The following is a 14,417-nucleotide window of genomic DNA, read 5'->3' as shown; positions in this document are numbered from 1 at the left end:
AGAGGGGGCCTGGAGCCAATCCAGGAAATCCAGGAGGAGGGGCAATGCACAGTGCCACATTCTCGAGGGGACAGATAACACCAAAAGCATCAGGAGAGAGAGAAGGGAGATGGGGGAGCCAGAGACAGGAGCCATACCCATTGTCCATGGTCACCTCCTGGGCACCTCCACAGATCAGCTTTTTCATTAAGTGCCTGCTCTGTGCCTATCTGGGGCTGGGGACAGTGCAGTGACCGAGTTAGCCTCAGGTCCTGCCTGCATCGGCCTCACAGTCCAGTTGGAGAGACAGACTTGTCACCATGCAGTGAGGACCCAGAGCAGTCAGAGCTCAGATAGAGGATCCCAGGGGTCTGGAGGTCAGGGAAGGCTTCCTGGAGGAGGGGACATCTGAGTTGGGATTCTCCGGTATGGAAGACAGATGAAAGGGAGTGAGTCTGGAGGGAGAGAGTTCAGGGAGGAGACGGAAAACGATTCTATGTAACCCAAGAGTAGATTCACACCAGTGGGTAGGATGTACTTCCAGGAATAAAATTCCTGACAGAAGTCAGGAAGAGGATATTAGGTTAACATTTACAAACTGAGCATTTTCTCCCTTACTCTGTCATTGCCATTCTCCCAATCCTGTCAGTTGAGTATTTTGACCCCCAGTTTTGATAAGGAAACACCAAGGCTCAGCTTGCGAATCCAGAAAGTGACAGAACCAGGATTTGAGTCCAGGTCTGTGCGACTCCAAAGGTCTTGCTGCCATTTATTAAGGCCGGCCTCGTGTTAAGCCCAGGGAGCTTTGAGAACCTTGAGAATGTGTCTGACCCAGCCTATGGTTCAGGGAGGGCTTCCTGGAGGAAGGGACAGTCCAGCTGAGATCTAAAAGAAGAATTGGGAAAAGACAGGAAGAGAGAAATGGAGGGGGCCAGGTGCGGTGGCTCACACCTGTAATCCCAGCACTTTGGGAGGCTGAGGCGGGTGGATCACGTGAGGTCAGGAGTTCGAGACCAGCCTGGTCAACATGGTGAAACCCTGTCTCTACCAAAATATACAAAAATTAGCCAGGTGTGGTGGTATGTGCCTGTAGTCCCAGCTACATGGGAGGCTGAGGTGAGAGAATCACTTGAACCCGGGAAGCGGAGGTTGCAGTGAGCCGAGATTGTGCCACTACAGTCCACCTGGGACAGCATGGCGAGACTCCATCTCAAAAAAAAAAAAAAAAAAAAAAGAAAGAAAAAGAGGGAAAGAAGAGAGAGAAGAGAAAGAAAGAAAAGAAAAGAAAGAAAGAAAGACCATTGTCCATATTCTTTTAAGTAATAGAGAAAGTAGGAATACTGACTTACTCATTTTATGAGTCCAATAGAATACTGATATCAAAGCCTGATAAAGTCATTACAGAAAAGGAAAATTATAGGTTAAGATCTCTCATGAAGTTGGAGTTAGGCCAGACACGGTGGCTCACACCTGTAGTCCCAGTACTTTGGGAGGCCAAGGTGAATGGATCACTTGAGGTCAGGAGTTTGAGACCAGCCTGGCCAACATGGTGAAATCCCGTCTCTACTAAAAATACAAAAATTAGTCGGACATGGTGGTGGGCGCCTGTAATCCCAGCTACTTGGGAGGCTCAGGCAGGAGAATCACTCGAACCCGGGAGGCAGAGGTTGCAGTGAGCCAAGATCAAGCCACTGCACTCCAGCCTGGGCAACAAGAGCAAGACTCTGTATCAAAAAAAAAAGCACCAAAGTCTCATGAAGCAGCACTCAGAGGGTCTCCTCTCTGCCTTAGTCACACCACACTGGAGAGTGTTTCCATGGCCACTGCATTGCAGAGCGGAGATCATGCCACTGCACTCCAGCCTTGGGGACAAAGCGAGACTCCGTCTAAAAAAAATAAAAAAAAAAAACAGCAGAACATAGAATAATAAAAACTGCATACAAATCCCCTGTAGAAATGGGGGAGCGGAGAAAGGGCAGGCCGCATGGGGGCAGAGTGCTCACCTTTCATAGTGGGGCTGGATTATGAGTAGGTAACGATGGCGTAGATCTGAACAAACCTCCAGTTGAAGAGCTCAGAAATGAGTGAGGTATGCTTACTATGGGCTGTCCAGGAGATGGCGCTAGGGGAAAACAGGCTGGCGACCGCAGTAGTTGAGGGTTCCTCTGAGGAGGGGACTTTGGCTTTACATTTTATAGTTTGAGTACTTTGTTTTCTTGCCATGTGTTACTTTTATTTGCGGCAGGAGTTGGGGGTGGGGCGACGGGGAATGGTAGGTTTGTTCTTTTCTTTTCTTTTTTTGAGACAGTCTTGCTCTTGTTGCCCAGGCTGGAGTGCAGTGGCGTGGTCTTGGCTCACGGCAACCTCCACCTCCTGGGTTCAAGCGATTCTCCTGTCTCAGCCTCCCGAGTAGGTGGGATTACAGGGGCCTCCCACCACGCCCCGCTAATTTTTTGTATTTTTACTGGAGATGGGTTTCACCATGTTGGCCAGGCTGGTCTTGAACTCCTTACCTCATGATCTGCCTGTCTCAGCCTCCCAAAGCGCTGGGATTAAAGGCCTGAGCTACCGCGCCCAGCCAGTTTGTTCTTTTCTTCTCACCAATTCCTTCTGATTGCTGCGTGGGGGACAATTGCAGAGGGGTGAGGCTGGGGCCGGCAGGTGGGAAGGAGGCTGGAGGCGGGACTCACTTATGTGTTAAGCTTAGATCTAATGAGCATCATGCGTGTGCCTGGCCTGGCACTGGGCAGTGCTGGGGACACAGCAGTGACTGTGACAGCCCTGGGCCCCACCCTTGTGAGGCTTACAGGACAGTGGGGAGACTGATTGCAGACAGGTAACTGGATAGCCACTATTCCTGGTTGTGATAGGCACTCAGAAGGGGATAGACAGGCTGTATTCCTCCTATTCAGGAGGTCAGGGAGGAGAACGTTGGTCAGAGCTGGGATGGATCCTGGACCAGGACAGCAGAAGGGAATCCACTGGGAGAGATGTTCAAGATGCAGAATGGACCCGACACGCAGCTGAGAGGCTGTGGGAGAAGGGGAACAGCTGGGCTGAGGCCCCCGTCTCTAGCCAGGGGACAGGTGTGGGGCCAGGTGCTGGGTTCAGGTTTGGATGTGCTGAGTGTGAGAGGTCTAGGAGACATCTGGAGCGTGTTGACCCCCGCAAGTCTGGTGAGTCCTCCAGCTTAGCCTGTCCCGGCCCCTCACAGCTGTCCCTTCTAGAATCACAGCCCTGTGATTCATCCCCACCTGGGCCTTGTTTCCTGAACCCCACATCTGACCGCTGGCCCGAGGGAGAATGCCGTCGGCCCCTGCTCTGAAAGCCCTGAAAGCCCATGCCTGCGTGCACACACGCGTGCACACACACACACACCCTCTTGATTTGATTTCCTGTGGCCTGGGTATGTGCCCACTCCCATTGGCACACCTAGACCCACCTGCTGGCCCAGATCCCCATGCTTGGTCTGCACTGAGACACTTGCATTTCCACGCTGGGAACCTCACCCAGGAAGGCTAGAGGATCTGGAACCCTCACCCCTCACCACTCTCTGGCCACTGTGCTAGGTGTCCCTGACATGAAGGAGGCAGTGACAGTTACGGGCCCAGCTCTGGGCCACCACCAGGTCTGGCGAGTGTCATTGTCAGGATGATGCTGTCCTTCCTGTGTTACAGAGGGGCCTTGGGGCAGGCTGTCATTGCTCAGGCAGCAGGTGGCGGAGCCCCGGGGGGACCCCAGATCAGCCTGACCCTAAGACCTCAGTGTGGGAGGGGTCTCCACAGCCTGGACCCCAGGAACCCACAAGCCCAGGGCCTAAGTCACAGCTGTAACAGTAACTGCAGCAGCTGACAGTGACAGTGACAGTGACTTCTCGGGCCCTAAGCTTGCACCTCAGGTCTTCCCTCCAGCTCCAGCAGAGCTCCCCAAGCCTTCCTGCCACCCCACCCCTTTGAAGATGAAAAATGTGTAGTGGCTGGGCTCAGTGGCTGTCTCCTGTCGTCCCAGTACTTTGGGAGGCTGAGGCAGGATGATTGCTTGAGCCCAGGAGTTCAAGACCTGCTTTGGCAACATAGCAAGACCCAGTCTCTACCAAAAAACAATTTAAAAACAGCCAGGCATGGTGGGGCATCTATAGTTCTAGCGGCTCCAGAGGCTGAGGCAGGAGAATTGCTTGAGTCTAGGTGTTCGAGGTTGCAGTGAACTGTGATGGAGCCGCTGCCTTCCATCCTGGACCACAGAGTGAGAGCCCATCTGTTAAATAAATAAATAAATAAGATGGAATATGGCAAGACCCCATCTCTACCCAAAAAAAATAAAATTAGCCAGGCATGGTGGCATGCACCTGTTGTCCTAGCTACTCAGGAGGCTGAGGTGGGAAGATGACTCGAGCCTGGGAGGCAGAGGTTGCAGTGAGCTGAGATTGTTCCACAGCACTCCAGCCTGGGCAACAGAACGAGATCCTGTCTCAGAAAAAGAAAAAATAAATTGTGTGCCCTCTAGTGCATTTTCAAGTTGACAAGTAAAACTTTTCTTCATTAACCTTAAGTAGTTGTGAAGGATGGAATTTCTGGTTCTGGTGTGTTATGATACTGACATGTTCAAACAGCTGGTGCATCCTTCCCTTCATATTTATTGCAGTTCGCATACAATAATGATTTGATGCCTACCAATGTCTGGTTTAAAGATATATATATATAGGCCAGGCATAGTGGCTCACGATTGCAATCCCAGCACTTTGGGAGGCCGAGGCAGCCAGATCACTTGAGCCCAGGAGTTCAAGACCAGCCTAGGCAACATACTGATAAACCCCATCTCTATTTTAAAAAAAATACAAAAATGACTAGGCACGGTGGCTCACGCCTGTAATCCCAACACTTTGGGAGGCCGAGGTGGGTGGATCACGAGGTCAGGAGATCGAGACCATCCTGGCTAACACGGTGAAACCCCATCTCTACTAAAAATATAAAAAAATTAGCTGGGCGTGGTAGCGGGCGCCTGTAGTCCCAGCTACTCAGGAGGCTGAGGCAGGACAATGGTGTGAACCCGGGTGGCGGAGCTTGCAGTGAGCCGAGATCGCGCCACTGCACTCCAGCCTGGGCGACAGAGTGTGACTCCATCTCAAAAAAAAAAAAAATATTAGCCAGGCATACCTGTAGTCCCAGTTACTCAAGGGACTGAGGTGGGAGGATCATTTGAGCCTGGAAGGTCGAGGCTGCAGTGAGCCATGATTGCGCCACTACACTCCAGCCGGGGCGACAAAGCAAGACCCCGTCTCGAAAATAATACAAATAAAAACAAGCTCTTCTTTTTCAGTCAGAAATTTCACATGGTTTCTTTTTGTTCATGTACTTTTGTATTTACAGTCCACATACCCACAGAATTCCATCTAGTGATTTATATGTCGGCAACCAAAATACATACAGAAATTTACATGTTAATTTCCTGTGACCATAAGGTTCTAAATGCTAAGTTATTTTCTTCTGGATTGAGTTAATTTTGAAATTATTAGTGCGCAGTTACTTTAAAATGTTCATCTTTTGGATGGACATGGTGGCTCATGGCTGTAATCCCAGCAGTTTGAGAGGCCAACGCAGGTGGATCACGAGGTCAGATGATCGAGACCAGCCTGGCCAACGTGGTGAAACCCCTTCTCTACTAAAAATACGAAAAATTAGACGGGCATGGTGGCGCGTGCCTGTAGTCCCAGCTACTCAGGAGACTGAGGCAGGGGAATTGCTTGAACCTGGGAGGAGGAGGTTGCAGTGAGCCAAGACTGTGCCACTGCACTCCAGCCTGGCAACAGAGTGAGACTCCGTCTCTAAAACAACAACAACAAAAAGTTCATCTTTTATACATTTTCATGAATAATTACTAAACCTTAAAAGTAAAAGGAGATGTTGCAAATGAGTCTGCAAAGGCACCACACAAGGGTTCCCTCTGTGGTTTCATGTGCCCTTGGATGAATATTAATTGTTGCAGGAGTGAGTCAGGATGCAGCATCAATTCTGCATTGGTTTTAAAGACTCAAGTGCTGAGAACCTTCCTTCATAAAGAAGCAGCTAGGCAAGGAAGGAGTTTTTGTTCCAGCAGCACCACTCACCTCTTGAGCTCCCACCAAGGTATGTGCCCAAAACCTCACTGTGAAGAGCTCGCAGCTCTTAGCTGCACCTTCAGGGCTGATGAAATTCTAGGATTGGAGCCATCAGACTTGCAAAAATGATTGATTATTACAAGTGTATCTAAGTGTTCAGAGGCACTTAGCATCGACTGCCACCTTAAGCTGCCCTTTGGAGCCAGGAGCCCCCCTCTCCCCCATCTGTAGCCCCAACTTTGCATTTTGGGAAAATAAGGCAAGAAAGGAGGTTGGTCTTTCTCCTGGGAAGTGGGTGGGGCGACAGTGCCAGGGCAGGACAGCCAGGATGGCAGTGGCTTAAGGGAGGAACACAGGGAACTAAGCATCTGGCAACTGGACCTTTACACCGTCCATGAACTTGGCGCTGTGGAAGCTCCTGGTGTCCCTCTTGGGGCGCGGCCCCTCAAGTCCGAGGACCTCCCTTCTGGGGCAGTGTTTCTTATTCCTGGCTGCTCGCTAGAATCATCTGGTCTTTTAAAAGACCCCTGGGTTACCCAGGCTAGGTGACTGCATTCCCTGGGTGAGAGGGGTGGGGCTTGCAGGGGGCTCCCAGAGCGCAGCCTGACCCCTCTCTTCCCCCGCAGTGTATCACTGGGTGGAGATGCGGACCAAGATGCGCATCATGGGCTTCCGGGGCACGGTCATCAAGCCGCTGAACGAGGAGGCGGCAGCTGAGCTGGGCGCAGAGCTGCTGGGCGAAGCCACCATCTTCATCGTGGGCGGCGGCTGCCTAGTGCTGGAGTACTGGCGCCACCAGGCGCAGCAGCGCCACAAGGAGGAGGAGCAGCGTGCTGCCTGGAACGCGCTGCGGGACGAGGTGGGCCACCTGGCGCTGGCGCTGGAAGCGCTGCAGGCGCAGGTGCAGGCGGCGCCGCCACAGGGCGCCCTGGAGGAACTGCGCACAGAGCTGCAAGAGGTGCGCGCCCAGCTCTGCAATCCCGGCCGGTCCGCTTCCCACGCAGTGCCTGCGTCCAAGAAATAGGAGCTTGCTGGATGGAACCTGAATTTGGACATGGCCTATGTACCTAACGTGGCCTTCTTCCCGCACCACCCTTGCCTGCGCTGGCCCAGTGGAAACCACCAGGATCTTGATGCAACTTGGCATTTGGTTACCCCTGCTGATAAGAGCAGCCGTTACCTGCCACTGGGACCAGCAGGTGAAGCGTTGCAACATAGCCCCCTCCATCATCCTTCACCTCCTATCCCCCACTCCAAACCAGGACGACCTGCAAGGTCCCAGCCAGCAGGACACCGTGGGCACTCTGGCAAATGAAAAAATGGAACCTGGTCTTGAGCTGAATCAATGTGTTATTGTTACCCCCACCCCCGGTTTACCTGATCAGTGTTAACCTTTACTGGGACACTCATCTGTTACACTGGAACACCTTCTTCTTTTTGTCAATCGGCACAGACCACTGTAAGGAAATGCAGTGTGTTGCAGTGGCCTTTTCTCCCCCTCACCTTCTAAGGTCAGCTCTAGCTGAGCATCAGTGCTCTCTTAAGGAGGAAAAAAACGGTGCGGCTGGGAGCGGTGGCTCACGCCTGTAATCCTAGCACCTTGGGAGGCCGAGGCGGGCGGATCACTTGAGGTCAGGAGTTCCAGACCAGCCTGGCCAACATGGTGAAACTCCGTCTCTACTAAAAATACAAAAATTAGCCGGGTGTGGTGGGGTGCGCTTGTAATCCCAGCTACTCGGGAGGCTGAGGCAGGAGAATTGCTTGAACCCATGAGGTGGAGGTTGCGGTGAGCCAAGATGGCACCATTGCACCCTAGCCTGGGCAACAGAGCAAGACACCGTCTTAAAACCAAAAGTTAACCGGGCGTGGTGGTGGGTGCCTGTAATCCTAGCTACTTGGGAGGCTGAGGCAGGAGAATTGCTTGAACTTGGGAGGTGGAGGCCAAGATTGTACCACTGTATTCCAGCCCGGGTGACAGAGCAAGACTGTGTCTCAAAAAAAAAAAAAAAATCCTGGCTGGGCACGGTGGCTCACACCTGCAATCCCAGCACTTTGGAAGGTCGAGGTGGGCGGGTCATTTGAAGTCGGGAGGTCGGGAGATCGGGAGCTCGAGACCAGCCTGACCAATATGATGAAACCCCGTCTCTACTAAAAATACATAAATTAGCTGGGCATGGTGGCATGCACCTGTAATCCCAGCTACTTGGGAGGCTGAGACAGGAGAATTGCTTGAACCCGGGAGGCAGAGGTTGCAGTGAGCCGAGATTGCGCAATTGCATGCCAGCCTGGGTAACGAGCAAAACTCCATCTTAAAAAAACCCACAAAAGGTCCTGGCCTGCAGTCAATCCCTGGAATCATTGTACCTTCCCTTGAGACCCGAAGTGGACTATTCCAACAGAACCCCCTCATCCTTGAGTCTATGGCACAACCCACTGGAATGGCACTACAGGATCTTTTCTGTGAATGTCCTCCAACCCCCCTTTCCGTGGTGGGAAATTTGATCCTAACTAGGGCTAATCCAGCCTGTCCTTCAGCCTCAGCCCCCTATTTTCCTGTCCTCAGAGTCCCTGGAGCTTGTACTGTGTGGCATGTCCTTTCTTGCCTTCCCCACCTTGCTCAGTAGCATTTCTCAGGGACCCAGTCGAATCCAAGCCCATGGATTCAATTGTCACATCCTTCATCTTCCATCCGTGTCTCCTAATCTGTGTGCTCTTGCTTTCTTTCCTCGGAGCTCTGGACTGACCCGACAGCCTGTCTTCATGTAGCAGTACCCTCCTGCCTCCATAGCCCCCGGTCCCACCCCCATCCTACCAATTAGGCCAGCAGTTGGCCTTAACTGCTTGATTAATTTCCTTGGACTGCCATAACAGATCACCATTGGGTGGTGAACTTGATGGCTTAAGTCCAACAGGAATTTAATTCACACAGTTCTGGAGTCCAGAAGTCTGAAACCAAGGTGCTGACAGGGACACGCTCCCTCTTCCAGCTCCTGGTGATTCCAGGCCTTCCTTGGCTCTGCCTGCAGCTTCACATGGCCTTTTCCCTCTTCTATTTTGTCTCTTACAAGAACACCTGTCATTGCATTTAGGGCCCATCTTAAGTTCAGGATGATCCCACCTCAAGACCCTTAATTACATCTGAAAAAACACTTTTTCCAAATAAACTGTCATAAGCACAGGTCCTGGGGGTTAGTATGTGGACTTGTCTGTTGGGGGCACACCATTCAAGCCATTCAGCCCACTATTCCTCCTCACCCCAAGAGTACGCTGGCGTCCAGGTGCAGTGGCTCACACCTGTAATCCCAGCACTTTGGGAGACCAGGGCAGGAGGGATCTCTTTGAGCCCAGGAGCTGAAGACCAGCCTGGGCAACATAGTGAGACCCCATCTCTACAAAAGTAAAATAAAAAATTAGCCAGGTGCGGTGATGCATGCCTGTAGTCCCAGCTACTTGGGAGGCTGAGGCAGGAGGATCACCTGAGCCCTGGAGGTCGAGGCTGCAGCGAGCCGTGATCGCGCCACTACACTCCAGCCTGGATGACAGAGTGAGACCCTTTCTCAGAAAAAAAGTACCCTGGGACTCCTGCCAACCCCGCGGGCCATTTGGCCTTCCTGCTAGCTGAGAGGAACAGTCTAGGAACCACCCTTTTCTACTGGGTTTCTCTTCCAGGATCTGCCACTGAAGCGGGAGGGGGTGGGTCCCAGTAGCCTGCAGTCTGTCCTTCCGACTGTAGCTCTCTCATTAGAGGAGCTGCAAGGTGATGAAGGCATCCTGAGGCTGTACCTGAACCACCATGTGGATCTCCACAATGGGTACAGAGCTTATTAAAATCAGGAGGGAAACTGGGAGGGTTCTGATGGGGAGAGGCCCAAGAGTCACCCTATGAGCTGGGGAAACTAAGGCCAGGGGTAAGCAAAGGGACTTGCCAGAGATGCCACAGCCAGTGAGGGGCTGACTGCCCAGGGTGGTGAAGTAGTAGGGGCAGAGTGAGAGGCTTGGATTACCCCAGCTGCAGAGTGAGGAGGGAGAGGCGATGGCTGAGCAGAGGCTGGGAGGGTGACGATCTCTACACAGAGGCCCAGACCATCCCAGAGGTGGCGTTGATAGTGGGAGACCCTCTCTATCCCCTCTCAGAGCAGCCCCAGATCACACCAGAGATCATAGCATTGTGTAAACTGGGTGACCATTCCACCTGGGCCCGCTTTTGGGAAGCTGCAGGTGAAAGTGGGAGGGCCGGGCTTTCCCCGACTTCCATCCTCACCTCCCTTCTCTAAAGAGGTAAAACTGGCCTGGACCAAGATCTGCCCAGATAGAAAGCCAAGAAACAGGTTCTGAAACTTTTCTTTTCTTCTTTTCTCTTCTTTTTTCTTTTCTTTTCTTTCGGAGACAGTCTAGCTCCGTCACCCTGACGGAGTGCAGTGGTGCAATCTCGGCTCACTGCAACTTCTACCTCCCAGGCTCAACCAATGATCCTGCCTCAGCTTCCGAAGTAGCTGGGATTACATGTGCCCACCACCCACGCCTGGCTAATTTTTGTATTTTAGTGGAGACGGGGTTTCTCCAAGTTGCCCAGGCTGATCTTGAACTCCTGACCTCAGGTAATCCGCCCGCCTCGGCCTCCCAAAGTGCTGGGATTACAGGCGTGAGCCACCGCGCCTGGCCTGAAACAGCATTTCAGTTCCTTCTGGAAGAGGGGGAGAAGCTGGAGCAGAGGGAACTGACCGAGTGGGTCCTGAGTGGGCTGTGTTTAAAACTGGGAGTGACCCAGGCCAGCTCACGCCTGTCATCCCAGCACTTTGAGAGGCCAAGGTGGACTGATCACATGATGTTAGGAGATCGAGACCAGCCTGGCCAACATGGCAAAACCCCGTCTCTACTAAAAATACAAAAATTAGCCGGGCATGTTGGCACATTCCTGAATCCCAGCTACTCGGGAGGCTGAGGCACGAGAATTGCTTGAACCCAGGAGGTGGAGGTTGCAGTGAGCTGAGATCGCGCCACTGCACTCCAGCCTGGGTGACAGAGTGAGACTCAACTCAAAAAAAAAAAACAGAGGTGGGAGTGTGAACACAGGCAGGAGCTCCAATTCCTGACCCCAGCGCTGTCCTGACCCAGATGGAGTGCTGCTCTCACATCTCAGAGACTTCGCACTCAGCCCTGCCCTGCCCTGCCCTGACAGGCAGCCAGTCATCGTGGGCAGCAGGGCCATCTACTTCCCCCACTGCGGCGTCAGGGGTGGCCAGAGTGTGTGGAAGTGGAAAGAACGTCCTCTCAAAATGCAAGAGGCCAGAGGATGGTTCACTGCTCGTGTGTTCTGCTAGCTAGAATTCTGTGTACCTTGTAATTTGGGGAGAGGGGTTAGAATAAATTTGTAAATGAAGCTGATTATCTTCAAGTTGATGCATTCTTTTTTCATATTTAAAAAGTCCTTGGGACTGGGCGCAGTGGCTCACACCTGTAATCCTAGCACTTTGGGAGGCCAGGGTGGGTGGATCACCTGAGGTCAGGAGTTCAAGACCAACCTGATCAACATGGTGAAACCTCGTCTCTACTAAAAATACAAAAATTAGCTGGGCATGGTGGTTGTGCACCTGTAATCCCACCTACTCGGGAGGCTGAGGCAGGAGAATCTCTTGGACCCGGGAGGCGGAGGTTGCAGTGAGCCGAGATCATGCCATTATACTCCAGCCTGGGTGACAGAGCGAGACTTCATCTCTAAATAAATAAATAAATAAATAAATAAATAAGGTCCATGTCAACCTTAGGAAAAATATCCTTTATTTATTCTTTCACTCAAAAAACTCACTGAGGTGGTCCCGCACCGGGACATGGACCCAGTGTCCTTGGTAGGGCGTCTCCCGCAAAAAAAAAAAAAATAAAAAAAATAAAACACAAAACTCACTGAGTTACCCACTCTCTGCCCCACCCTATGCTGGGGTCACAGTGGTGACAGAGACAGCCCCAGCCCTGCCGTCACCGGGTCTTACAGATGCTCACACGTACATTTCTTTTCCAGTGTTCCCTGCCCCACCCCATAGTTGTTTAGGAAGCAGGGGCTGGGCTGAATCCGGAATCCTCCCTCTGGAGTGACTCAGGACTATAAACCCATTCATCCCAGCTCACAAAACCCTGGGAGGTGCCCTGAGGGCTGTGCCCCTCCCATCTCCTGGCAGGCCCTGCTGTCCCTCTTGTTGGTTTCTCTGTAGGGCAGGCCATTGCCTGGAGGGAGGCAAAATGGCTGAGAGCCACCCCAGGAGAAAATGGGCTTTACATAAGCCCCAACCTGATCTATTGGCTCACGGAGCTACTCCTGGGCTGGTCGCTGTGTTGCTGAGTGGCAGGCTTGGGTCCCCCAGTGGCAATGGCTTGTAGCTGGAGTCGGTGTGGACAGAGAGAGGAGAAGCATGGCAACTCTGAGTGTACTGAGGATCAACTGCACCAGGCTCCATTCTAGTAGCTGGGAGCCAGTTGGGAGCAAGCAGAGGCCCTCACTGGAGCTGACATTCTAGTGCCAGAGACCGGCAATAAAGAAGGAAAGAGTGGCCAGGCGTGGTGGCTCACACCTGTAATCTCAGCACTTTGGGAGGCCGAGGCGGGCCAATCCCCTGAGGTCGGGAGTTCGAGACCAGCCTGACCGACATGGAGAAACCCCATCTCTACTAAAAATACAAAATTAGCAGGGCATGGTGGTGCATGCCTGTAATCCCAGCCACTCAGGAGGCTGTGGCAGGAGAATCGCTTGAACCCGGGAGGCGGAGGTTGCGGTGAGCCAATATTGCACCATTGCACTCCAGCCTGGGCAACAAGAACGAGACTCCATCTCAAAAAAAAAAGGAAAAAGCTAATCCAGCATAGGGTGATGAGGACTGAGAGGAATGGAGGCAGGGTAGGAGTTCCGGACTTACGGGCACCGCTGATCTAGACAGGTGGGCAGGGAGGAGGCAGCGCTTCAGATGGAGGGAGATAGGAAGAGGGCTGTGAGTATCTGTGAAAGTCCTAGGACAGATGTGGCCTTGGCCTGTTCCTGGAACAGCAAGAGTTTCTGGCTGTCAGAATAGAGCAGAGGCTCGCTGACCAAGGCCTTTGGGCCAAATCAAGGGGACCCTTGCTTCCTGTCTTTGTAAATAAAGACTTATTGGAACCCAGGCGCTCATTCGTTTGCATATTTTCCACAGTTGCTTTTGCAGTACAGTGACAGAGCTGAGTATTTGCACAGAGATCCTAGGGCTCTCGTACTCTCTGGCCCTTTACAGAAAAAGTTTACCATCCCCTGGAATAGAGTAAGCGAGGGGAGAAGTTAGGTGAGGGGGCCAGGCAAGCAAAGGCTGCCCCTTGCCTTGATTGGCACAACTGTGGAGGTCATCCCAGCTCTGGAGCCCCAACAGGATCACTCAGGCCTCTGCTTCCACCACATCTGGCTTCAGCTTCCCCCTCTGTGGAGTCCTCCCTCCCTCCCTCCTTCCCCATAGGAAATGACCCCAGTGCTCAGCAGTAACCCCCACTGCGCGCAGATCTCAGAACCTCCACCTCAATCTACAGCCACGTGCCACAATAAGAAGCAGAGTTTTAGGCCAGGCGCGGTGGCTCACGCCTGTAATCTCAGTACTTTGGAAGACCAAGGTGGGAGGATCACTTGAAGTCAGGAGTTCGAGACCAGCCTGCCCAACATGGTGAAGCCCCGTCTCTAATAAAAAGAATACAAAAATTAGCCGGGTGTGGTGGTGCACATCTGTAATCCCAGCTACATGAGAGGCTGACATAGGAGAATTGCTTGAGCCCAGGAGGTGGACGTTGCAGTGAGCCAAGATTGCACTACTGCATTCCAGCCTAGGTGCCAGAGTGAGACTTGGTCTCAAAACAAAACAAAACAAAAAATTAGCCAGGCATGGTGGCACACACCTGTAGTCCCAGCTACTTGGGGGGCTGAGGCAGGAGGATCGCTTGAACCCGGGTGTTTAAGGCTGCAGTGAACTGAGATCAGGCCACAGCACCTCAACCTGGGAGACAAAGTGAGACCCTGTCTCAAAAAAAAAAAAAAGCAGAGTTTATGTAATCCATCGTGTGCATATTTATACAATAATTTACAATTCTATGTATTTTAAAAGTGTATAATTCATATATTATGTGACACAATATATAATGGAATATAAAATATATATTTTATGTCATGTGTAACATAACATCATCTATTATATGTAGTGTATGTGCTTATGTACATATCATTGGAATGAAAGTTTCATTAAATAATTACCCTTAATATTTGCAGCCCGGTTTAATATTTCCTATTTTATTGTATTCCATTTCATGAAGAATAACTACAGATATATATGCATTCTATATACTT

At 51.8% G+C, this 14,417-nt stretch overlaps 1 protein-coding gene across 3 annotated transcripts in view, besides 3 other annotated features; it reads left to right on the top strand.

Moving 5' to 3' along the window:
- Positions 1-14,417, top strand: part of OPA3 (outer mitochondrial membrane lipid metabolism regulator OPA3) — a 57,376-nt gene that overhangs the window by 24,192 nt on the left and 18,767 nt on the right. The window contains exons 2-3 of one of the 3 annotated variants that reach the window (XM_006723403.5): positions 5,962-6,101; positions 6,700-14,330. The exons of 1 other annotated variant lie outside the window; for it this stretch is intronic. In XM_006723403.5, coding sequence (XP_006723466.1) covers positions 6,717-7,097 — 381 coding nt within the window. In that variant the 5' untranslated portion in view covers positions 5,962-6,101; positions 6,700-6,716 and the 3' untranslated portion in view covers positions 7,098-14,330. Of the gene's footprint in view, positions 1-5,961; positions 6,102-6,699; positions 14,331-14,417 lie in introns of those variants that run through there. One more of the 3 variants, NM_025136.4, reaches the window with a different exon arrangement.
- Positions 2,082-2,582: an enhancer, noted in NCBI's record as "H3K4me1 hESC enhancer chr19:46061287-46061787 (GRCh37/hg19 assembly coordinates)". NCBI's record gives its function as "activates a minimal SCP1, AML or CMV promoter by ChIP-STARR-seq in primed H9 embryonic stem cells {active_cell/tissue: H9 hESC(primed)}" and the evidence as "EXISTENCE:reporter gene assay evidence [ECO:0000049][PMID:30033119]".
- Positions 6,330-6,959: an enhancer, noted in NCBI's record as "H3K27ac-H3K4me1 hESC enhancer chr19:46056910-46057539 (GRCh37/hg19 assembly coordinates)". NCBI's record gives its function as "activates a minimal SCP1, AML or CMV promoter by ChIP-STARR-seq in naive H9 embryonic stem cells {active_cell/tissue: H9 hESC(naive)}" and the evidence as "EXISTENCE:reporter gene assay evidence [ECO:0000049][PMID:30033119]".
- Positions 6,960-7,590: an enhancer, noted in NCBI's record as "H3K27ac-H3K4me1 hESC enhancer chr19:46056279-46056909 (GRCh37/hg19 assembly coordinates)". NCBI's record gives its function as "activates a minimal SCP1, AML or CMV promoter by ChIP-STARR-seq in naive H9 embryonic stem cells {active_cell/tissue: H9 hESC(naive)}" and the evidence as "EXISTENCE:reporter gene assay evidence [ECO:0000049][PMID:30033119]".

This window comes from Homo sapiens, chromosome 19 (genome assembly GCF_000001405.40).
Source record: "Homo sapiens chromosome 19, GRCh38.p14 Primary Assembly".
Classification (NCBI taxonomy): Eukaryota; Metazoa; Chordata; class Mammalia; order Primates; family Hominidae; genus Homo; species Homo sapiens.
This window is presented reverse-complemented; position numbering and strand designations above follow the sequence as displayed.